Genomic DNA, 25,574 nt, shown 5'->3' with positions numbered 1-25,574 from the left:
GTCTTATGTATTCCACTTTCAGACTTTTGATTTGCCAAAGCCCCAGATTAAACCTGTACTTAGCTCTTATGCAGAGATTTATGACTTTTCTACCTCTTTAAAAAAATGGAAATATGTTTCTATTAAAATAAAGTTGAATGACATTATCAGACACTATATGATATTCTGCTAAAGAAAGCAGAGTTTAAGACACATTTTTCTAATAATTCTTACTCATAAATTCTCTTTATGACTTTAAAAGAAAGAATACTTAAGATTTTTCTCACTTCTTTTGTGCTTATACATTGTCATCAATTTCCTTTTTACCAGTTCAAATAGCCTTTTTCTGATTGCTGTTTGTATATTCAAAGGAACCACCTTAATTTTCCTTTTCACCTGCACTAGGTCTTATTTGTAAGGAGGAAGTAAGAAGAGAGTTGATTATAGACAGATGTGGCTTCCAGTGGTGAGAGGAGACATGATTTTAGGTGGTCCAGGGACAGGGCATCAGATGACACTGCATCATACAATGAGAAATGTAGTCCCATTCTTGTTTTTATTCAGTCTTTCAGATTATAAGGAGAAAGTCTATTTCTAGTTTTTAATATCTAAAACTTGCTGATCTTTTCAACAAGTGTGTGGGCCCACTTTTAGACTATTCAATAGGCAACATATCTACTAGAATTTAGTATCATTGATTAATTTCTGTCTTTTCTAATTTTAGGACTACTGGTTATTTAAGGTAAGCAATACCGTTTTCTCGAATAGTATCAATGGTGTACCATTTGTTATAAAGTTTCCATTTAAAATATATATTTTTTAGATTTTTAGAGTGAACTATTTTAAAGAAAAATATAATAATAGTTATGGTATTTTGATGTGACAGAAATCCTGGGCCGAGCATGGTGGCTCCCGCCTGTAATCGCAGCACTTTGGGAGGCCAAGGCGGGCGGATCACGAGGTCAGGAGATCGAGACCATCCTGGCTAACGTGGTGAAACCCTGTCTCTACTAAAAATACAAAAAATTAGCCGGGTGTGGTGGTGGGCGCCTGTGGTCCCAGCTACTCAGGAGGCTGAGGCAGGAGAATGGCGTTAACCCAGGAGGCGGAGCTTGCAGTGAGCCGAGATTGTGCCACTGCACTCCAGCCTGGGCGTCAGAGCCAGACTCTGTCTCAAAAAAAAATAAATAAATAAAATAAAATTTAGAAAACGTGATGGTACTAGCTAGTTACTGTATTAGTTTCCTATGGCTACTTTAACACATTACCACACACTTGATGGCTTAAAACAACATACATTTATTCCCTTACAGATCTGGAGGTCCCAGCAATTTGGGAGGCCGAGGTGGGCGGATCACTTGAGCCCAGGAGTCTGAGATAAGCCTGGGCAGCACAGTGAGACCCCATCTCTATAAAGAATGAAAAAAATTAGCCAGGCATGGTGGCACACACCTGTAGTACTTGGGAGGCTGAGGTAGGAGGATTGCTTGAGCCTGGGAGGTCAAGGCTGTAATGAACTGTGATCGTGGCACTGCACTCAGGCCTTGGTGACAATTGTTTTTTAAAAAAAATTGAAAAAAAAAAAAAAAAAAGGTACTTGTGATTGCATTTAGGGTTCATCTGGGTAATTCAGAATAATCTCCCCTGCCCTTGAATGGCCTTAATTTAATCATACCACCAAAGTCTCTTTTGCCATATAATGTAACGCATTCCTGATATCTCTAGGTCGCCATTTTTCAGCCCACCAAAGTTATAGCTTAATAAGACGTTTCCGATGGATAGCTGTAGACCTTAATACCCAGTGTAATTTCTGATTCTGTCTTTGTAAAATTTGTAAATTACCTTTCTTTCTTAGACTTCCTATTAAGAGCAAGTTCTAAATGAGAAGTTTAGGACCCTTAATCAGGCCAAGAACTTTTTAAGTAAAATTTGCCAACATTTCAAAATTTTTCTTCTGGGGAAGTCTAAAACTTTCTGATGAACTCAGCTTTAATAATTAAGTGCAGGGCAAGTAATACATTGTTATGAGAAAAGTAATATAGTATATTAGAGGTAATCTGCATTTTAAAAATAATGTCAAAATGTGTATAAATTTTTCTTTTATTTTTAAATTGGAGGATATACAAATTTTATAACGTGTAGTTATTTTCCCTGAAAATCTTTTAACCTGTCTGGAGGTCAATCCTTCAGTCTTTTGCCTGCTCTTACTATTCTTGGAGTAGAGAAGGTAAAGGAGCTAGGGTCCACTCTTGGGTAAACTTTCACTTAACCTTGCAGTTTCAGTTTTTCTCTTCTGTTTTGAATCTTCTCCACCATAGCTCTGCCTTCAGCTTTTTCACAGAATAAACATATCTCCTGCCTTTTGCCCGCAGTGGAGGAGAGAAGCTAGAGGTTTAGTGGTCCTTCTATAGACTTTCCCTGGTCTCCTTGTTTTATGTCCTATGCCTTACCTTTATCCCCTGGCAGCCTTCTAGGTTACCTGTTATTTATATGACTCAATCCTTTCTGGGGCACTGCACCAGGAATGACTTGCATTGGCGTCCTTCTTTGCATGTACTTAGTATTTGGTTTTCTTTGCTGTATGCTGTGTTAACTTCTGTACTTTCTATCTTTTAAAATTACATTGCTATGGGTTTTTTTCTGCTATTGTCAGTCTCCTATTTTTGTTTTCCCTTTCTGTTGATACCTCTTGTTTTCTGTAACTCTCACCTTTAGTGAGGTTTTATATCAAAGCGGGCATAAATACATGTTTAGTCTACCATTTATCCTAAAATCTTTGAAACTTTTTATAGTGTGGTGTTGCATCTATTGGTTCCTATTAGCCAACAATTCAAGTAAATCAAGAAAGGGATAGTTGAGTGAAAGGGTGAGTGTATATAAAGTGGAGAACAAGTCCTGATGAAGCACAGGCAAAGCCTGTTATCCATCCTCTGGTACCACAGAAATATTCCAAAGGCAAATGAATGGCAAAAGATGATGAGGATTACTAGTGGATCTACTTGTGAAAAAACTCCTTGGCCCAACTGTGTTTGGTGCTAGTTACTTAAAACTTAGCAAGAAGTTTATTCTGCTGTGTTACATTAATTATAATGAGTGAATTGAGGTTGAATAAAGGGTAGAAGATGTTAGTACTGTTGAAAAAAGAAGATATATCTATAGATATCTACATATTTGAGACAGAGTCTTGCTTTGTCGCCCAGGCTGTAGTGCAGTGGTGCAATCTCGGCTCACTGCAACCTCCGCCTCCCGGGTTCAAATGATTCTCCTGCCTCAGCCTCCTGAGTAGCTGGGACTACAGGCACACCCCACCATGCCCAGCTAATTTTTGTAGTTTTAGTAGATACGGGGTTTCACCATGTTGGCCAGGATAGTCTCCATCTCCTGACCTCGTTATCCACTGGCCTTGGCCTCCCAAAATGCTGAGATTACAGGCGTGAGTGTAATTAACACACCCGGCCTAATTTTTTGTATTTTTAGTAGCGATGGGGTTTCCCCATGTTGGCCAGGCTGGTCTTGAGCTCCTGGCCTCAGGTGATCCACCCGCCTCAGCCTCCTAAAGTGCTGGGATTACAGGTGTAAGTCACCGTGCCCGGCCAAGAAAGAAGATACTTTGAATCCTAGCAAGTTATTGAAGAATAGTGATAAAAAATACTATATTAAGATGATGATTCTATTGAGAACAAACTCCCAAAAACCAGCTTAGGAGAAAGTTTTATTGTTTAGCTTTTGATTTAATATTCTACTTTCAGAGACATAACCATGTAACACATTCATAATTGGACATAGTTTACTTATTACTTTTATAAGAAGGAAAAGTTAATCAGTGGTTTAATCAAGGAAATAAAACTTAGGATATTTGTGTTTATAAAGAAGTACACTAATATCTTATTTTGAGTAAGACACAGAGCAGTCATTAATCATCATGAAAGCCTGGATTCAAACAAAGTAGATTACCTTGCATTTACAGAATTATAGAACATCAGAGGTTATCTAGTTCACTCACTGGTTTCAAAAATATAAACTCCAATGTTCTAGGTTTCTGTGAAGTGCCTTAGGTGACTGCATGGAGGGATAGGTTACTAGGTCAGCATTCTGTTTCCATTGCAGTGCTGCTGATTTACTAATATTACTTTTATATATTGTGCTTGTAGATGAGATTATGTTTTAAAAAGGGCTTTAGCTGCTAAGTAAATGATGTTCGAATCAACTGCTTTTTTGAAAGGTCGCCAGTCATCTCCTTTAATTAAAAAATCAAGATAATTTTCACCCTTTTTTACTGGATCATTTAGCATTAGTCTATATTCTGTTCACTCTTTCTTGAAATACTTTCTTTTATGGCATCTGTGACACCACATGCTCCTGATTCCTCCTAGTCTTTTGCCATTCTTTGCGGTCCCTTTCGAGCTCTTCCGTCTTCTACCAGCCATTGAAGTTTGGTGTTTCTCGGGGCTCAGTGCACCAGATTTCATTCTTTCTCATGCCCTACTCTTTCTAGTAGTCTCATCCATACCTATGAATTTAGTTCATTTTTATCAGCATGTTACTCAGACTTCAGATTTCTATGTAAGCCCCAAATTTGGTTATCTTTTTGCCCACTCTGATACTGCCTTTTGAATTTCTCAAAAACATCAGAAACACAATACAGACAGTTCCCAGCTTATGATGGTTTGACTTATGATTTTTCTGTGGATAGTAATGCCGTTGTAAGTTGAGAAGCATCTGCATATCAAAGACAAACTCTATCTCTATTTCTGAAATGATCAAATAAGCAGACATACAAACTGGTTCTTTTCCAGCATTTCCACCTCAGTTACTAAATGCAGTTACTTAAATCAGAAATCTAGCTGTCATCTTTGGCACTGTCCCCTTCCTTCATCTCCAAGTCTTTCTTTATCTTTTAAGTATCTCTTAAATTATTCCCTTTTTTCTCCATTGTCACTGCTACTACTCTAATCCAGTTTGTCATTCATTGCCTCTTGCTGGAACCACTACAGTGGCATCCTAACCAGTCTTACAGCATCCATTCTTGCCTCCCTCCAATCTTTTCTTCACTCCTTTTTTTTTTTTGTTTTTGAAATGAAGTTTCACTCTTGTTGCCCAGGCTGGAGTGCAGTGACGCGATCTGGGCTCACTGCAACCTCAGCCTCCTGGGTTCAAGCAATTCTCCAGCCTCAGCCTCCTGAGTAGCTGGGAATGCAGGCCCGCACCACCACACCCAGCTAATTTTTGTATTTTTAGTAGAGACGGGGTTTCACCATGTTGGCCAGGATGGTCTGGATCTCTTGACCTTGTGATCCGCCCACCTCGGCCTCCCAAAGTGCTGGGATTACAGGCATGAGCCACCACGCCTGGCCCAATCTTTTCTTCTCTCCATATCGAGTGATCTTCCTTAATCTCTAGTGCTTTCTCCTTGTTCTCAGGTTAACCAACATTTCTCAGGAAACCAACATTAGATTTGGAGCCAGTTTACTTTTTTCTTTATCATATTTTGCCTTTTGGTTTCCCTGTGTGTTTTGCTGTTGATTCAAAAATAACTTTAATGTTTTTTATTTAAAGGTGGCTTAATTATATTATTCACAAACAGTGATATAAACAATAATATAAACAGTCAATTAGTCAGTTTGGGGTGCTGTAACAAAATACCATAAACCGAGTGGCTTATAAACAACAGAAATTTATTTCTCACAGTTCTAGAAGCTGGGAAGTCCAAGATCAAGGTGTTGGCAGATTCGGTGTGTGGTGAAGGCCTGCTTCTTGGCTTATGTTGTGTCCCACATGGCAGAAGGGGCAAGGGAGCTTTCCTGGGTCTCTTTTCTAAGGGTAGGAGTCTCATTCATGAAGGCAGAGTCCTCTTGACTTAATCACCTCCCAAAGGTCCCACCTCCTAATACCATCACATTAGGGGCTTAGGATTTAAACATAGGAGTTTTGGAAGGGACACAAACATCAGTCTGTAGCACAGTGTTTTAAAAAAATTTGAAATGTAACCTATACTTGACAAAAATACTTAAATATTTGAGAAAAACTTTGGTATTTTCTTCAAAAGGAAAAAATTATCTGTTTGTTTTCAGTATAAACCTATTTTCTAAGGTTTAAGGTTCAAGCTTTCCTCAAACAGAAATGATCATTTTTAAAAAGAACCACTATCAAATTGAATTTTCCATCTCATTATCAGCTTCTGTAATAAACTATGTTTTATTAGACTCCTATCTATATGGTTTTCAGTTCTGTGATTACACTTCCATTTTGAATTGCTAATTTTTGGCCATTCGTCACTTAAAAATGAATATTTTAACGTGATGATTTGGTATTTTAATATGCAGGTATTCAATCTTTTACATGATAGCTATTAGATTGTTTAATTTACAAAGTTGGTAGTAAAATGAAATCTTATTTGTTTACTAGCTTTTATAAGTTGATTTTAGTGTAGATTTATGTAGCATATTACAGTTTTACATGTGGAAATAACATTAATTTTTAACCTTTTGAAAAATCAGCTTTGATTTTACTTTTATCATCTGGAGAAACTATGTTTCTAGACAAGAATTGTATGCCATTAATCTATCACTATGAAATAAAAACAGAATAGTGGATTGTATAATTGAAGTAAGAATAAAAATCTTGAAAATATTTTTGTTTTATATTTAGAAAAATGGCTTTTCTTGTTGTACCCACTAACTCTACTATGGTTAGTAAAACATAATTGTTTCTATTGAGTCTAGAGTTATTTACTTTCAAGTAGTAGAGATATAATTGTTTTTTAATGTTTTCATCACTATTTTGATTTTCCTATAAGGTGGTTCAGCTTGATTTTATGTATCTGGTATTCATCAGTTTGCATAGAAATTTAGAGTCAGCTTTGATTTTAATATTGCATTCTTTTGAAATATTAATATTTTTATTAAATCTTTACTACTGCCAGGTATATTGAATGTTATGGATAGATTGTAAAATGAAAATTGGAATTAGCCTAATGCCTTGTCTTGAAGTACATGACAAATTAGAATGGTTTTCCTCTGTAGCAAGGATGTTACCATGGTGAGAGCTTCTGTTTCCATGACATTTGCTTGCATATTTTGATAGGTCTTCATTTGAAGAAGGGCTCTGTTTTCTGGCAGGCTGCAAAAGTGTCATTCTATCTTTTCTCAAAATGTGTTACTTTTATTGAAAAATATAATTTTCCAAGGAATTGTAATAGCAAAGTGCCAAGAAAGAAAATATACCTTATTTTATTTTTTTTTCCTTGTTCATCTTTTAGAGCACAGCAAAATATTCTTAGCTTGCTTTGTGTAAGGAAGAAAAAGCAAAACATCATTTTCAAGTTTTTAAAATAAATATTTACTTTTTTTTGAATTTTGTTGGCAAAATAAACAGCTACAGATGCATAATTTGTAATCAGTCTCAGCTAGATATAGATATATCTGTACAACTAAAAGGAATTGCTAATGATGATATATTGGTAGCAGAGAAAGGGGAAATAAATATAAATAAGGACTTCACAAAAATGAAAGAAGCGGTGAATTCCTAGAGGGTAAATATACAGAATACCAAATCAGTTCTCATATAAATGATACATATTAAACACTTAATGAATTAGGGATAGTTCTTTTTATTAATAACTTATGTTTAATGTTGAAACATTAATGGTAGATTTTTAAAATTGTCATTTTACAGTGGTATAATTTTAATTTTTAAACCAGATAATACAATCACGTGGTTCAGAAATTTTAACATGTATTTAAAAAATACATAGAAGAAAATTTCCCTCTCATACTTCTTCCCAGTTTCTTTATATATATAGAAGCAAATACAAATGTGTGAATACATTCTTATTTTCATTCCACTTTTTTAAAAAGATAGCATATTATTTTACACTTTGCTTTTCAGAATTTGTCCGGGTATATTTTTAATGTCTATTTTGTTAGCGCTCTGATTTAGGCATCTAGGGAGACATATTGGAATCATAGCAAAAAGATAGGGTTTATTAATTGATATTTCTTATCCCTTATGCTTATAGCAATTCCACATTTTAGAAGGAAATATTTAAAAGCACACATTTTGTCTATGTAGGGTCAGAAAATTGATTTTCCTTTTGTTGTCCAAGTTCAGTGATAACTTTAGTAGCTCTTTCTACTGACAGACCAATTCATTCTGTAAGAGCTACAAACTGAAATAGTCTCTAAAGAATATGTATTTATACATGCTATTTCTTCTGCCTGAAACTATTTTCTTTTCTATATTACTCCCATTTATCCTTCAACTATCAAGTTAGATGTGCTTCCTTGAGGAAGCCTGGTTGTATAGGTGAGCATGACTCTCCCCTGTGCCTCCACAGTATTCCCATTGGCCTCAAAGCACTTAACGTGTATTAATTTTTAGTTATTTAAACATTACCATTTCTCTTACTAGATTGTAAGTACCATGAAGACAGAGACCATCTCTGTCTCATTCACAGTGATATTTTTAGTGCTTGTAGCAGTAGGGTGAATATTAAGTACTGTGCTGTACGTGTGGGCAATCTGAATGTCTGCTGCTCAGATTCACTGTACTTTCTCTTGTAGCTACTTAACTCATCCTTATTGCCTGTATAATTCTCAGCTTAAATTTTACTTCCCCTGGGAAATTTGTTTTTATCTTTTTGACTGTGTTACATTTCATTTTCTCAGCTATTATAGCACTCTGAACTTCATCTTTCATTAAATTCTTCACAGTTTTTTGTAACTGCTTATTATTTGTCTGAAACCCCCATTATCTTTATCTTACTGTCCTCTAGCACAGAGGTTGACACAGGCTTAGCAGTTGATCAATAGGTACTGGTTTAAAAAAAAAGAATGAATGCATACTTTAGATCAGTGATTCTCAACTGGCATGATTTTACTTCCCAAATAACATTTGACAGTATGTGGGGACATTTTTTATTATTTTGATTGGCCCATAGAGGCCAGGGATGCTGTTAAACCTCCTACATTGCACGGAACAGCCCCCACAACAAAGAGTCAACTGCCCCAATGTCAGTAGTATTGCTGTTAAAGAACCCTGCTTTAGACTGTGGATTTCTTTGCTTTCTCCATATTGTCTTAGATTTATAGATTTATAAATGTATAGGGCTTTTGAATATACTTGAACAGATATCTTAACCATTTTGTCTTTTTTCTTTAAATTCTATATTTTGTGACAATTTAACTTTTTTGACGTATAGAAATTGTATGTATTTAGGGCATACAGCTTGATGTTTTGATATACATTGTGAAATAATCACTACATTCCAGCTAATTAACATCTGATATCTCTGTCTACCTGCCATTTTTGTACCCTTTGACCAGCATCATCCCATTTCTAGTTCCTTCCGTTTCCAGGCAGCCACCATCCTAATCTCTGCTTCTATGAGTTTGACTAATTGAGATTCCATGTATAAGTGAGATCATGCAGTATTTCTCTTTCTGGCTTATTTTTGCTTAGTACAGTGCTCTCCAGCTCCATCCACGTTACCACAAATGGCATAAATTACTTTTCTGGGGGTAAGGCTGAATAATATTCTGTTATATGTACACCACGTTTTCTTTAACCATTCATCCATCGCAGGGCATTTAAGTTGCTTCCATATCTTCGCTATTGTGCATAAAGCTGCAGTGAATGGGAGAGAGCAGATATCTCTTCATGATCCTGTTTTCAATACTTCCAGATACATACTCAGAGGTGGGATTGCTGAATCATAGGGTGGTTCTGTCTTTAATTTTTTGAGGAACCTCAATACTGTTTTCACTAATGGGCTGTACCAATTTACATTCTCACCGAAGTATACAAGGGTTCACTTTTCTCCATATCCTTGACAACACTTGTTATTTCTTGCCTTTTTGATAATAGGCATCCTCGTAAATGTGAAGTGCTGTCTTATTGAGGTTTTGATTTGCATTTCCCTGCTGATTAGAAATGCTGAGCAGCTTTTCAATAGGTCTGTTGGCCATCTACGTTTCTTATTTTGAGAAGTGTCTATTCAGGGCCCTTACCCATTTTTAACAGGTTATTTGTATTTTTAATATTGAGTTGTATGATTTTATATATTGGATATTAACCCCTGTGGATGTATAGTTTGAAGATTATTTTTTCTCATTTCATAGGTGACCTTTCACTTTGTTCATTGTTTCTTTTGCTGTGCAGAAGGTTTTTAGTTTGATATAGTCCCACTTGTCTATTTTTGCTTCTGTTGCCTGTGCTTTTGGTGTTATATCCAGAAAATAGTTGCCAAGACCAGTGTCAAGAAGTTTTTCTTTGTTTACTTCTAGGAGTTTTACAGTTTCCACTTTTGTGTTTAAATGTTTAATCCATTTGAGTTGATTTTTGTGTATGGTGTGCACCTTTTTGTCTTTCCATTCACCCCGTACAATGTGGTAGTTAGTATATATTTTGGAATCTGGAATAAAATACTTGGGTTCAAATATCTTTTCTACCAATTTCTTTATGACTCTGTTTTGTGATCCATGAGAAAAGGGTACTATGTTAGATTGAACTACCTCATGGAGCTATTTTGAGAATAAAGTGATTTAAGAACACTCAAACCAGTAACTGGTGAAAAGTGAAAAACTCAGTCGATGTTAGCCCTTAGAAGTTATTGCTGCCTTAATTATTCTGTGTAAAGGGCATAGTAGGGGATAAAACTAGAGAGGATGAATAAGGCTAGGTAAGTGGGCACGGGGAGGTGGTCTTTGGTTGTTAGGTTGAGAAGCTTGTATTATTTTCAGTAAACCATCTAACCAGATGGATTCAGGATCAGTTGTATTTGATAGGGCCTGTTGATAATAGGGATAACAGTTAGGTTGATCACAATAGCCTGGGTGAAAAAGTAATAGAGATAATTGGTGGAATATGGAATTGGTAGAGATCGCATCAAAGATGATTCGAGAGTTTTGAACCTTTCTGGTTAGGAGCATTATGTTAATCAGAAATGGAAATCAGAATGGAGATGAACTAGTTTTTTGTTTAAGAATATAAATGATTCAGTTTTAGATTTAAAACTTTAGGCTGCCTTTAGGGTACTAATGAATAAGCCAGTGCCTGGCATACTTTTATTTGGGAGAAAGTTAGGACAAAAGATGAAGATTTGGGAGTAATTTTCATTGTAAGTGTATTTGGAGTCTTAGAGGAGTGGATGCTGTATAATGTGTAACAGTGAAAAGACAAATAATAGATTCTTGAAGAATGTGCGTTCATAATTGATTCCATTGTTTTACTGTCTCTAGTAGCATTACTGTCTAGGATTTCTAAAGTTTTCTTTAAAAATAAATGCTGTAATAAAACTAATATTATAGTAAGGACAGGGATCTTTCTTAGCTTCAGATGTGATCTTTGTGAAGAAGGCATTATGTCTCAGGTTTTACTGTAGAACCTGGTGATAACTACTCACATTTTACTAGTGGAAATAATAGAATAACATAAGCCTGCAAGGTGTTTTTAGATATCTCTGGTCTAGATATCCTGTTTTAGGCAAGCAAAATGCTATTATTGCATTTTTACAAATGAGATAGATAAAGCCCACTTTGAACTTGCTTAAAATAATTACGTTAGTAGAGGCAAAGAGGGACTAAATACGTTGCTCCTTTGCCGTTACTAATGCTAGCTTCATTTACATCAGGTTTTCTCAGCCTTGGCACCATTGACATTTTGGGCTAGAATTCTTTGTTGTGGGCAGCTGCCCTGTGCTTTGTAGGATGTTTAGTAGCATATCTAGCCTTTAACCACTAGATGGCAGTAGCACCCCCTCCCCACCTCTTGTTCAACCAAAAATGTCTCCACGCATTGCCAAATATCCCTTGGAGGCAAAATCTCCCCTAGTTGAGAACCAGTGCTTTACACCACAAATATATATCATGTATACCTCCAGTTAGCTTCCTGTCCACCTTAGTTTTACAGACTTCTCTTTGGCATATGGCCATCTTCTACCTCTAAGCCAGGTTCTGTTCTCATCTGGTCAACACTTTCTTAAGCATCTTATTTTGCTGCCTGACGTTTACATTTATTATGTTTTTGACTTTACAATGGCAATGGATATCTTGGGTTATATTGGTAATTACGTTTACACCTAACATATCCCCAGTTTTTTTTTGACAGCTCACCTCATACAATCAGATTTATTTCTATAAACTAAGTATTGTATTTATCAGTTAACTATAGCTCTGATAATTATTTTAACCTAGATACATGCTGGTAAATTGAATTATATTACTCTGACTATACACGAGAACATGTAGAATGGTGTTTTTATATCCTTGTTTATAGTTCAGCAAGATTCTGTATTTCAAGTTTGATAAATCATAAATATTTATTTCTAAAAGGCTTATTCAGTTTCTGTATTTGTAATATATTTGCTCTTATTATTTTGGGGATCATGAAAAAGGGATTATTTGGTAGTGATTTATATAATCTTTCATAAATATTGTTAGCTTATTTCATAATCTCAGATATTTCATTTTTAAATTAAGTGTACCTGAGACAGATATTTTTGTAGTAAGTTTTGAAATTCTGTATTTTTAATTATTTTATTAAAGTATTTGAGCATTTTACTAGGTGTTTTGTAGGCACAAAATTGATGTGATTTTTTCTGAAGTAGAATTACATTCTAATGGGTATTTCAATATATTTTACTCATAGAATCTGTGTCATTGTTGAATCTACATTCAATAACTGGGAGCTACAGTATTCTTAAAATACCATTTTCTAGATTAATTAATTAATTTATTTATTTGAGACAGAGTCTCACCCTATTGCCCAGGCTGGCGTGCAGTGGTGTGATCTTGACTCACTGCAACCTCTGCCTTTCAGGTTCAAGCAATTTTCCTGCCTTGGCCCCCCCAGGTGGCTGGGACTACAAACATGCACCACCATGCCTAGCTAATTTTTGCATTTTTAGTAGAGATGGTGTTTCATCATGTTGGCCAGGCTGGTCTTGAACTCCTGACCTCAGGTGATCTGCCCGCCTTGGCTTCTCAAAGTGCTGGGATTACAGACGTGAGCCACTGCACCTGGCCCCATTTTCTAAAATTTTATAATCATTAATTTTCATAAAGGTGCTTTGAAATTCCTAATAATATCAAGTCTAGTATTCCAAATTAATATGAATGATTTGATGTGCAATGAGATGAGGAGTTACTTAAGTTTCTGAATTATTGCTGTGTAAAAACAGAAGAGTTGATACATGTTGTTTTCTTATTAGACAAAATTGAGTCTTGATTTCCAGGCAAGAGAATGTGAATGATATTTAATATCTGTTATATAAATAAAATTACATATTAAAGCTTTTTAGAATTTATCATTAGGTACCTATTAGGAGATATTTTAAAACTATACCATCATTCAACTTTTCTAGATTTAATAACTTAGATTGATATTGGTTTCTAAGTGTTCTTGTAGTCACTTACTATAAACAAGTAGGAAACGGAACTAAAGGATGATTTGCCTGTAAGTATGAAATTTCCTTGGCAGAGGTTGCAAATGCGGTGGGATGTGCATAGTGTGTTTCAAGCTACACAAACTTACTCTTTTTCTTGGGCCTATTCTCTCTTGCTGACACTCCTTTCTCCCCTTACTTTTTTTGACCCTTTACTACTGTAATGAGCCACTGTTACTTAAAGGCCTGTGACTTTTCTGTCAAATAAGCTTTACTAGGAAAATGACTATATTTTATCAGATTCTCTTCACTAATGGGTTGACAATGGGAAAATGTTGCAGTTTCAACATTCCAAAAAAACTTTCTAAAGAGATTTATTTGTGATTATCCTGAAGCATGTATGTTACCTAAATAAATCTCTCAGGGCAAATATATGGAAGAAAATTTCCACTGAAAAATTATATATTTGATTTTATACTTACTCATGCTTCAATACAAAACTTGAGGGAAAATAATGTGCATTATTTTCTTACACGTGGCACAGTTAAAAGGTGTTTCCTATCAATTCCAATGATTTTTTCTTTCTTAGCAAAACTTAAATTATATTGAATCGTCATTGTATGGACTTCCGTTTGAAGTAAGCAATCCTGTGATTATGATTTTTGCAGTTTTAAATAATTTATAAAAATCTGTTTGAGCTGGGTGCAATGGATTGCACCCTTCGTCTCAGCTACTCAGGAGGCTGTGGTGGGAGAATTGCTTAAACTCAGGAGTTCAAGGCTGCAGTGCTGTGACTGCACCTGTGAATAGCCACTGCATTCTAGCTTGGGCAAGATAGCAAGACTCCATATCTAATTTTAAAAATTAAATTAAAAATTTGTTAGAATGCAATTTGACTTGGATAATTTAAAAATACTAGTATTGGACACTTAGCAATTTTTCCTTCCTAAGTATTTTTCTTATAATATGGCCCCACCCTCCATAATGCACACACTGAATTGGGAGACTTGCCTCTCCTTTAGCACATCCTATATTTCTCTACTCCTGTTTTTTTGCCCATATTTACTTCATGCTGCAAATCTGCATGAGTGAATATTACCCATCCTTCAAGGCTTACAATGTTCATTCCTCTATAATCAATTTTAAGACACTCAGGTAATACCTTTTCTTTTTTTACTTTGTACTCAGAATACATTTAAAATCCCCAAGTGAGATTTATCCCTGGGTTACAAGGTTGGTATAAACATATGCAGATCAATCAATATGATATACCACAGTAACAGAATAAAAGCTAAAACCACATGATCATCTCCACAGATTCATACAAAGCATTTGGCAAAGTTCAACATCTTTTGGGACAAAAACTTCCAATAAAATAGGTATAGAAGAAAATTTTCTCAACACAAAGGCCATTTATGAAAAGGCCACAGCTAGCATCACAATTAATGGGGAAGAACTAAAAGCTTTTCCTGTAAAATCCGGTACAAGGCAAGGATTCCCCATCTTGGTGCTTCTATTCAACATAATACTGGAGCTACTAGTAAGAGCAATCAGACAAGAAAAAGAAACAACAGGCATCTAAAATGGAAAACAAGTAGTAGAATTATCTCTGTTTGCAGATGACATGATCCTATATGTAGAAAAAGACTGTTACATCAAAAAAACCTGTTAATTCAATAAAGTTGTGGGATGCAAAGTTAACATACAGAAATCAGTTACATTTCTTTACACCAATCGATAACAGCCTATCTGAAAAGAGAATGAAGAAAACAATCTCATTTACAATAGCATCAAAAAGAATAAAATACCTAGGAATAAATTTAACCAAGATGGAAGAAATTGAAGATGATACACATAAATAGAAAGATATTCCATGTTAATGAATTGGAAGATTTACATTGTTAAGATGTCCATACTACCCAAAGTGATACACAGATTTGGTGCAATCCCTATCCAAATACCAATGACATTTTTTACAGAACTAGAGAAAAACAATTCTAAAATTTGTAGGGGACTAAAAACCCTGAAAAAGCCAAAGCAATTTTGAGAAAGAAGAACAAAGTTGGAAGCATCACACTTCCTGGTTTCAAGTTATATTACTAAGCTCCAGTAATTAAAATGGTGTAGTACTGAAATAGAAACATACACATAGACCAGTGGACCAGAATAGAGGGCCCAGAAATAAACCCAAGCATGTATGTTCAAATTTTTGACATGGGCACCAAGAATACACAATGGGGAGAAGATAATCTTTTCAGTAAATGATGTTGGGGAAGCTTGAATATCCATATACAAAAGAATGAAATTGGACCCTTATACCATACACAAAAATCCACTTAAAATAGATCAAATGCCTAACTGTAACACTTGAAACTGTAAAACTCCTAGAAGAAAACATAGTGGAAAAGCTCCTTGATGTTGGTCTTGGCAATGATCTTTTTGATGTTACATCAAAAGCTCAGCCAACAACAGCAATAATACACAACTGGGACTACATGAAACTAAAAAGCTTCTGCACAACAGGAAACAATCAACAAAATGAAAAGGCAGATTGGGAGAAAATATTTGCAAAGCACATATCTGATAAGGGGATATCTATAATATTAAAGGAATTCACAACTCAGTAGCAAAAAACAAAACAAAAACAAATAATCCAAGGACTTGAATAGACTTTTTTTTTTTTTTTTCCAAAGAAGCCATGAAAGTGGTCAACAGGTGGCTGGGCATGGTGGCTCATGCCTGTAATCTCAACACTTTGGGAGGCCAAGGTGGGTAGATCACCTGAGGTCAGGAGTTTGAGACCAGCCTGAACAACATGGAGAAACCCCATCTCTACTAAAAAAAAGAAGAAAAAAAAATGCAAAATTAGCTGGGCCTGCTGGCACATGCCTGTAATCTCAGCTACTTGGGAGGCTGAGGCAGGAGAATCACTTGAACCTGGGAGGCGGAGGTTGCGGTGAGCTGAGATTGCGCCACTGCACTCCAGCCTGGGCAACGAGAGGGAAACTCCGTCTCAAAAAAAAAAAAAAAGGTCAAAAGGTGTATGAAAAGGTGCTCAACATCACCAGTCACAGAGAAATGAAAATTAAAACGTCATTGAGATATTACCTCATGCATATTAAGATGGCTATTATCGAAAATACAAGATAACATACAAAATAGTTGGTGAAGGTGTGGAGAGTAAGGGTGTCCCACTGTTGGTAGGAATGTAAATTGGTACAACCATTATGGAAAACAGTATGGAGGCTCCTCAAACGATTAAAAACAAAACTAATATATGACTCAGCAGTTCCTCTGAGTATATACCAAAAGAAATGAAATTAGTACCTCATAGAGAAATGTATGCCCCCATGTTCATTACAGCATTATTTCCAACAGCCTGCATATGGAAACCACCTAAATGTCCTTCAGTGGGTCAATGAATTAAGAAATTATGGTATATTTATGCAACAGAATATTATTCAGGCTTAGAAAAAAAGATCCTGTCATTTATAACAACATGGATGGAGCTGGAGGGCATTGTACTAAGCAAGATCAGCCAGACACAGAAAGAGAAATGGTGTGTGATTTCACTTACATGTGGAATCTCAAAAAGTTGAGTACACAGAAACAGAATGCAAAAAACACCTATTATGAAGCTACTTGGTTAATAAGCTCTTTTAAATGGGGGAGAAACAAACCCAGTTGGTAACTCATTAATAACAACTTTTGATTATAGGTGATAAACTAATTCTGTACCTCCTTATTATAATTGAAACAGATATAAATTACTCTGTCAGTTCTAACTGTACCGTCTTCTGTGGTTAGAAATATAAAAAAATTAGCAAGCTCAGGTCAGAGGGAGAGCATGCTTTTTATCCCCCCTCTCAGTTGTGGGTATTCAAAGGGATTTGTTTTGTTGAAACTAGAAGCTACTGTTCAGGACTAGGAAGAAGGTTATCAGTGCTGAGGATGGGGGAGTTGGGGAGATGTAGGTTAAAGAGCACAAATTTGCAGTTACGTAGGCTGAATAAATCTGGAGGTCTAATGTACAGCACAATGACTGTACTTAATAATATTGTTTTATATACTGGAAGTTTGCCAAGAGAGTAGATTTCAGATGTTCTTGACACACATGTACACACATACAAGGTAACTGTGAGGAGATGGATAATGTTAATTTGCTTTACCATAGTAATCATTTCACTGTGTATATCAAACATTGTGTTATAATGTTATATACTTTACATATCAAAAAATTTCAATTAATTTTTCATTCTGTTGAGTAAATGCATTCCAATTAGGATACCTATAAAGTGAATATACAAATATATTGATTAGTGTGATTTATTTATATTTACATATTATATACATTAGGAAGTTATAATGCTTAAGAACACAATTATTTACAAAGCTTTTGTTTATTAAAATAATTTTTATAATCTCTAATTACATGGACAGTGTTGTACAACCACCTCCACTGTCTATTTCCAAAACCTTTTCATCATCCCAAACAGAAATCATTTAACCACTAAGCAGTAACTTCCATTTTCTTCCATACTGTAGCCCTGGGTGACCTCTAATCTACTTTCGGTCACCATGATTTTTTTCTATTTTAAATATTTCATGTAAGTGGAATCATACAATATTTTCCTTTTGTGTCTGGCTTATTTCGCTTAGCATAATGCTTTTGAGGTTCATCCGTTTGGCAGCACGTATCAAAACTTCATTCCTTTTTATATTTGGATAATATATGTATATACAACCTTTTGTTTATCTACTCACCTGTTGATGGAGACTTGTATTGTCTTTACCTTTTAATTTTTGTGAAGAATGCTTCAATGAACATTGACATACAAGTGTCTGTTTGAGTAGCTGTTTTCAGGTTTTTGGAGTGTGTACCTAGAAATGGACCTTCCGGGTCATGTGGTAATTCTGTGTTTGGCTTTTTGAGGTACTGTTAACCTTTTATCTATAGTGGCTGCACCATTTCACATTTCTATCAGCAATGTGCATGTTCTGATTTATCCACATTCTCACCAACACTTGTTAGTTTCTGTGTTTTTTTTTCTAAATTATAGTCACCCTAGTTAGTATGAAGTGGTATCTCCATTTGATTTTGATTGCATTTGTTTAATGATTAATGATAGTGAACATCTTTTCATGTGCTTATTGGCCATTTGTATATCTTCCTTGGAGAAATGTTTATTCAAGTCTTTTGACTTTTAAATTTGGGTTTTTTTGTTGTTAAGTTGTATCCATTTTAACAATATATTCTGGATATAAATAGATACATATCCAGGTTTATATCAGATGTATAATTTGCAAACATTTTCTCCCATTCTGTAGGTTGTCTTTTCACTTTCTTGATAATGTTCTGTCATGCACAAAGGTTTTTAATTTTGATTAAGCCCAAACTATGTAGTTTTTCTTTTGTTGCTTATGCTTTTGGTGTCAAAACTAAAAATCTACTGCCAAATCTAAGATCGCAGAGCCTTATGTTTTCTTCTAAGACTTCTGTGGTTTTACATGTTACAGGTTGTTTATTCATTTTTTGTTAATCTTTGTATATGGTATGAGGTAGGCATTCAATTTCATAGTTTTACATGTGGAAAACCAGCTGTCCCACCTCTCTTTCTTAAAGAGAGTATTCTTTCCCTCATTGAATGGGCTTGGCATCCTTGTGGAAAAGAAATCAATTTGCTATAGATTTATGACTTTATTTATGTACTCTTAATTCTATTCTGTTGGTGTTTTTGTCTATCTTTATGCTAGTACCACCTGTTTTGATTACTGTAGCTTTGTAGTAAGTTTTGAAAAGTAAAAAGTGTGACTCTTTCAATTCTTTTCTTTTTTCAAGATTTTTTTTTTTTTACCAATAATTTTTTATTTATTTATTATTATTATACTTTAAGTTTTAGGGTACATGTGCACAATGTGCAGGTTAGTTACATATGTATACATGTGCCATGCTGGTGCGCTGCACCCACTAACTCGTCATCTAGCATTAGGTATATCTCCCGATGCTATCCCTCCCCCCTCCCCCCACCCCACAACAGTCCCCAGAGTGTGATGTTCCCCTTCCTGTGTCCATGTGTTCTCATTGTTCAATTCCCACCTATGAGTGAGAATATGCGGTGTTTGTTTTTTTGTTCTTGCGATAGTTTACTGAGAATGATGATTTCCAATTTCATCCATGTCCCTACAAAGGGCATGAACTCATCATTTTTTATGGCTGCATAGTATTCCATGGTGTATATGTGCCACATTTTCTTAATCCAGTCTATCATTGTTGGACATTTGGGTTGGTTCCAAGTCTTTGCTATTGTGAATAATGCCGCAATAAACATACGTGTGCATGTGTCTTTATAGCAGCATGATTTATAGTCCTTTGGGTATATACCCAGTAATGGGATGGCTGGGTCAAATGGTATTTCTAGTTCTAGATCCCTGAAGAATCACCACACTGACTTCCACAATGGTTGAACTAGTTTACAGTCCCACCAACAGTGTAAAAGTGTTCCTATTTTTCCACATCCTCTCCAGCACCTGTTGTTTCCTGACTTTTTAATGATTGCCATTCTAACTGGTGTGAGATGATATCTCATTGTGGTTTTGATTTGCATTTCTCTGATGGCCAGTGATGGTGAGCATTTTTTCATGTGTTTTTTGGCTGCATAAATATCTTCTTTTGAGAAGTGTCTGTTCATGTCCTTCGGCCACTTTTTGATGGGGTCTTTTTTTTTCTTGTAAATTTGTTTGAGTTCATTGTAGATTCTGGATATTAGCCCTTTGTCAGATGAATAGGTTGCGAAAATTTTCTCCCATTTTGTAGGTTGCCTGTTCACTCTGATGGTAGTTTCTTTTGCTGTGCAGAAGCTCTTTAGTTTAATTAGATCCCATTTGTTTGACTCTTTAGGTCTGTTGAAATTTTACTTGAATTTGAAGAGCACATTTTCATTTCTGTGGAAAACGCTGTTGGAATTTTCTTAGAGATTGCACTGAATCTGTAGATTGTTCTGGGAGTATTGACATCTTAACACATTGAGTCTTCCTATCCATGAACATATGATGTCTTTCCATCTTTTTTTTTTTTTAAAGAAATCAGTGTTCAGTATACAGATGATTCACCTTGGTTAAATTAATTCCTACATATTTTGTTCCTCTAGATGCTATTGCACATTTTTTTTTTTTGAGACAGAGTTTCACTCTGTTGCTCAGGCTGGAGTGCAGTGGTATGATCATGGCTCACTATAGCCTTGACCTCCCAGGCTCAAGCAATCCTCCCACCTCAGTCTCCTAAGGAGCCGGGACTACAGGCATGTGCCACTATATTTGGCTAATTATTAAATTTTTTTGTAGAGATAAGGTCTTGCTTTCTTGCCCAGGCTGATCTCGAACTCCTGGGCTCAAGCTGTCCTCACACCTCTACCTCCCAAAGTGCTGGAATTACAGGCGTGAGCCACCGTGCCTAACCCTACTGTAAGTTTTTAAAAATGTCCTTTCCTTTTTTTTCTTTTGATTTTTATTGCTGGTGTATAGAAGCAAAACTGAATTTTTGCGTTGATAATTTCACCAAAAATAGTAAATTATTAGGAATACATTTAACAAAAGCCATGCAAGATCTCTATACTGAATACTACAGAACATTGTTAAGATTCATTTAAGGATGAGTAAATGGAGAGATTTACAGTGTTTATGAATCAGAAAATTCAATTTGGTTAAGATGTCATTTCTTCCCTAACCTATTGATTGATTCAGTGTAATCCTCATTAAAATCTCAGCAGGCTTATTTTTCATAGAAATTGGCAAGCTGATTTTAAAATGTATGTGGAAATGTAAATGCTACATTAGCTAAAAGTGTTTTGAAAAAGGAGAATAAAAGTCTGAGGACTTACACAGCCTGTTTTCAAAATGTATAAAGTTATAGTAATTGAGACTATTCTATTAGCAGGAAGAAAGACATATATGTTAATGCAACAGATTAGTGAGAAAAGAAATTGTGTGTGTGTGTGTGTGTGTATATATATATATATATATATATATATATATATATACACACACACACATACATACATACAGTCCTGTGCTTCATACCATAGAAATTAATAAGCTGAAGTAGTTTGTATACCTAAAAATAACAGCTGAAACCATAAAACTTGTCTAAGAAAACATAGTAGAAAATTGTAATGACTTTAGGAAAATATTCCTTAAATAGGTCACAAAAAGCACAAATTATATAATTTTTAAATGGATAATTTTGACATTACTAAAATAAAGAACTTTGGTCTTCAAAAGAAATTATTTAGAAAATGAAAAAGCCAAAGACTTGTAGAAAATATTTGTAATACATATATCCAACCAAGACTATTTATTTACAATATGTAAGTAACTTCTTACAAGGCAGTAATGAGTCAAACAGCTCAGTGCAAACAAGAGTAAAAGATTTGAACAGACACTTCACCAAAGAAGGTATACAGATAGCAATAAACAAAAGAAAAGATCTTCACCATCTTTGTGTCATTAGAGAAATGCCAATTAAAATGATGAGACACACACTTTAGAAAGGCTAAATTAAGAAGACTGACAATGCCTAGTCCAAGGCGGATATGGAGCAAATGGACTTCTCATTCATTTCTGGTAGGAATAGAAAATGTTACAGTTTGACAGTTCTTACAAAGCTAAACATGCATTTGCCATGTGATACAGTCATTCCACTCTCCTAGTTATTTACCCAAGAGTTAGGAAAACATGTCAATACAAATGTTCAGAGCAGCATCATTCATGATAGCCAAAAACTGGAAACAACCCAGATATCCATCACCTTGTAAATGTGTAAACAATTTGTGGTATATACATACAATGGAATCCTAGTCAGCAATGAAAAGGAACATACTACTAGTATATGCACCAGGATAGATTCATCTCAAAAATCTTACATAAAGTGTTTCTTTATTTTTTATTTTTAAAGTATTTCTTATGTAGCTAGAAAAGGTACAACTGTAGTCGTAGAAAGCAGATCACTGTTGCCAGAATGCTGACGGAGGGAATTGACTGCAAATGGTAGCAAGAAATTTTTTCACATCCTTGAAATGTTCAATATCATGATTTTGGTCATGGTTACGTAACTGTATATATTTGTCAAGATTTGTTGGTTAATTTTATTCATTATAAATTATCCCTCCATAAAGCTGAACAAGAAAAAAAAGCATTTTTAAAAATGAAGCTTCTTTTAAGTCATAGGAAGGTTGGATAGAATCACTGGTTTTATTCTTTTTCTGGACTTTCACAAACAAGGGTCTACATGTCTTTGGTAGGAAAAGAAGAAAGGTCATCAATAAGAAGGTAGATATCTAGCCTGACTTGTTGGTTGAAGATTAAAATTATGTTTAGAAAAGAAGTAATTTTGCTTAATAAAAAGTTACATTAGGTTTAATACATTGAATGTTTAATTTTTAACTTCTTAGTAACGATTGTCATCATTTTAATTGGCTTTAGAAATACAAACCTGGTCGATGTGATGATATTTTGAAATGGAAGCCTCCCAGTCTGAATTCTGTGGATTTTCGTCTAAAAATAACAAGAATGGGAGGAGAAGGGTAAGTATGCACTTTTGTACTTTTTGCATGAAATAATACTGTTTGTGTAAGGCTTCACCTTTTACAGGGTATTTCATATATACTTTACAATACTTTAAAGAAAGAAACTAAAATACTTTATTTTACAAGATATTTTACATATATACTTATACAACAATTTCGTTTTCAGAGATTACTCCTTTGACCTGTGTCAGCTAACATATAGCAGTTTCCTTTAAAGTTTACTGATCTTTGTTTTAAAATCATTTTCATTAATATAATTATATTAATAACAACAATATAAAAGGTAATAATAATATTAAAAAACGAATTTTGGCTGGGCGTGGTGGCTCATGCCTGTAATCCTAGCACTTTGGGAGGCCAAGATAGGCAGATTGCTTGAGCACAGGAGTTTGAGAGTAGCCTGGGCAACATGACGAAACCCCCCTCTACCAAAAATAGAAAAATTAGTTGGGCTTGTTGGCACATACCTGTGGTCCCAGCTACTCGGGAGGCTGAGGTGGGAGGATTGTTTGAGCCTGGGAGGCAGAGGTAGCAGTGAGCTGAGACTGCACCCTGCTGCACTCCAGCCTGGGTGACAGAGTGAGACCACTTCCCCCGCCGCACACCTCCCCCCAAAGAAAAGAACTTTGTTAAATTGTAAAGTGAAAATTTTACTAAATTTTGAGATTTTACTGAAAAATAATTCTCTTATATGAATTATAGATCTAGATATAAGATATGATCATTGGTATTATAATTAAGCATATCGAAATAAGTCTTTTTTACTTTGAAGGAAATTACTTCATGTTTGCATTTGCAGAGCAAATATTTTCTATACTTTTGTAGGGTAAGTTAACTGTTGACTTTCATTAAGATTTTTTATAATGTCTATTAAGTGTTAATTTTTAAATTTATTGGTTAATCTTCCTTTTATGACTTTTTGGTTGCTATCTTAGAATAAAAGATGCTTTAGCATGAATATTTTCAACATTTTTCCAAAGCCTTGTTTTTATTTCACTTTTGTTCTATAACTTTTTAAGTATCTTGGCTAAGTAAATACATTACAACAAAATAAGAAATCCTTAATCAAGGAAATCAGAAAGAGAAAGTAAATAAGATAATACTAGCAAAGAGATTAAAGCTTACCAGTGCATCCTGTGAAATTTTTACTTATCAAAGGTAAAGCACAGATAGCATTTTTGCTAGCTGATGGAACAGGGGATATATGGAGTCCAGACTCCAAAAGATTAAAATATATTAAGAAACTATGCATTATCAAAGAAAGGAAACTGTGCATTGTGGTGAATCTTAAGTGAAAAGGTGGGTTTAATAAAGCATGTGGGTATTCGTTTTCAAACAACAGGGTATTTAACATTTTATTTGAGGCTGGGTGCAGTGGCTCATGCCTGTAATTCCAGCACTTTGGGAGGCCAAGGTGGGAGGATCACTTGAGGCCAGGAATTTGAGACCAGTCTGGGCAAAATAAGGAGGCCCTGTTTCTAAAACAAACAAAAATTAGCCGGGTATGGTGGTGCATGCCTGTGGTTCCAGCTACTTGGGAGGCTGAGGTGGCAGGATTGCTTGAGCCCAGAGCAAGTCTCTGTCTCAAAAAAAAAAGAAAGAAAAAGAAACACACACACACACACACACACTATCCCTAAATGTTTGTGGCTTAATTTACAATTGGGACTTAATGGCAAAAAGTTGTTAGAACAATTATCTGGAACCCCCAAGAATATATTGAGCTCTATATGAGTCTGATTATAATCCAAGGATAGATAAATTTGAGGCTATAGGAATAGCTGGAATACACACACAGGAATGACTTTCAGGATAGTTTCAAAAATGTCTTTCTCTTATCTAAACATTGGATAAATATTGATATGTTGAACATTCAAGATTAGTCTTCCTGACAAAGTGCCCAGTGTACAGATTTTCTCAGTTGCCAGTCAAATGTGGGATTGTTTATCACTAATCATGCAAGTTGGGTGTAGGTTTGATATGTTCTTCTGGAAGTGCCTTACAGAAGACCATCTCACTATTAGAAAAATTGAGGCTAAGAAACTAATTCTAGTGGGGCTACGCTGTTTTTTTTTTTTTTTTTTTTTTTTTTGACACAAGTGAATATAGTTCTTCGAAAAATAAGACTTCAAAGATGAAGTAAAATTTTGTTAAACTGCTTCATTACTAAATCTTCTATTTTTCTTAATGCTATATTTGTATTTGGTTAAAGAGTATAGACTCTCGGATTGTTTCATTGGGTTTTTTAAAAACAACTTACTTTTGCCTTTTACAGTCAGTTCTTAGTGGCACTTAAAGGCTTCCTGAGGCTAAACATAGAATACTCATTTCTCTAGTAGTAAAAAATGTTATTTTTTCTTGCAGTTTCCTATTGTAATTAAACATAGCATGATGTAATTCAGTTTAGTAGTTTGTCATCCTAGTTTTGCCTTTATTCATAGTACGTTTTAAATATATTTTGTTCTTTTAAAATTTTACCTATTTAATGTCTTCTTCCTAAAAAATGGAATTACTTTTGAGTCTAGTGCATCTTTAAAACTCATCCAAATGTTTCTCTAAGGTGATTTTCAGATAGGAATATGCAATTTACATCAGTGTATGTACATTATTTGTGTAATGGGAGTCAATTTTCA

At 34.9% G+C, this 25,574-nt stretch overlaps 1 protein-coding gene across 5 annotated transcripts in view; it reads left to right on the top strand.

Moving 5' to 3' along the window:
* Window positions 1-25,574, top strand: part of RNGTT (RNA guanylyltransferase and 5'-phosphatase) — a 353,722-nt gene that overhangs the window by 170,907 nt on the left and 157,241 nt on the right. For all 5 annotated transcript variants that reach the window (NM_001286428.2, NM_001286426.2, NM_003800.5 and 2 more), the window contains one exon: window positions 22,838-22,938. In NM_001286428.2, the coding sequence (NP_001273357.1) occupies window positions 22,838-22,938 (101 nt within the window). The remainder of the gene's footprint in view (window positions 1-22,837; window positions 22,939-25,574) is intronic.

This window comes from Homo sapiens, chromosome 6 (assembly GCF_000001405.40).
Source record: "Homo sapiens chromosome 6, GRCh38.p14 Primary Assembly".
Taxonomy (NCBI): domain Eukaryota; kingdom Metazoa; phylum Chordata; class Mammalia; order Primates; family Hominidae; genus Homo; species Homo sapiens.
The sequence above is the reverse complement of the archived record's forward strand: the minus strand, read 5'-3'. Positions and strand labels throughout refer to the sequence as shown.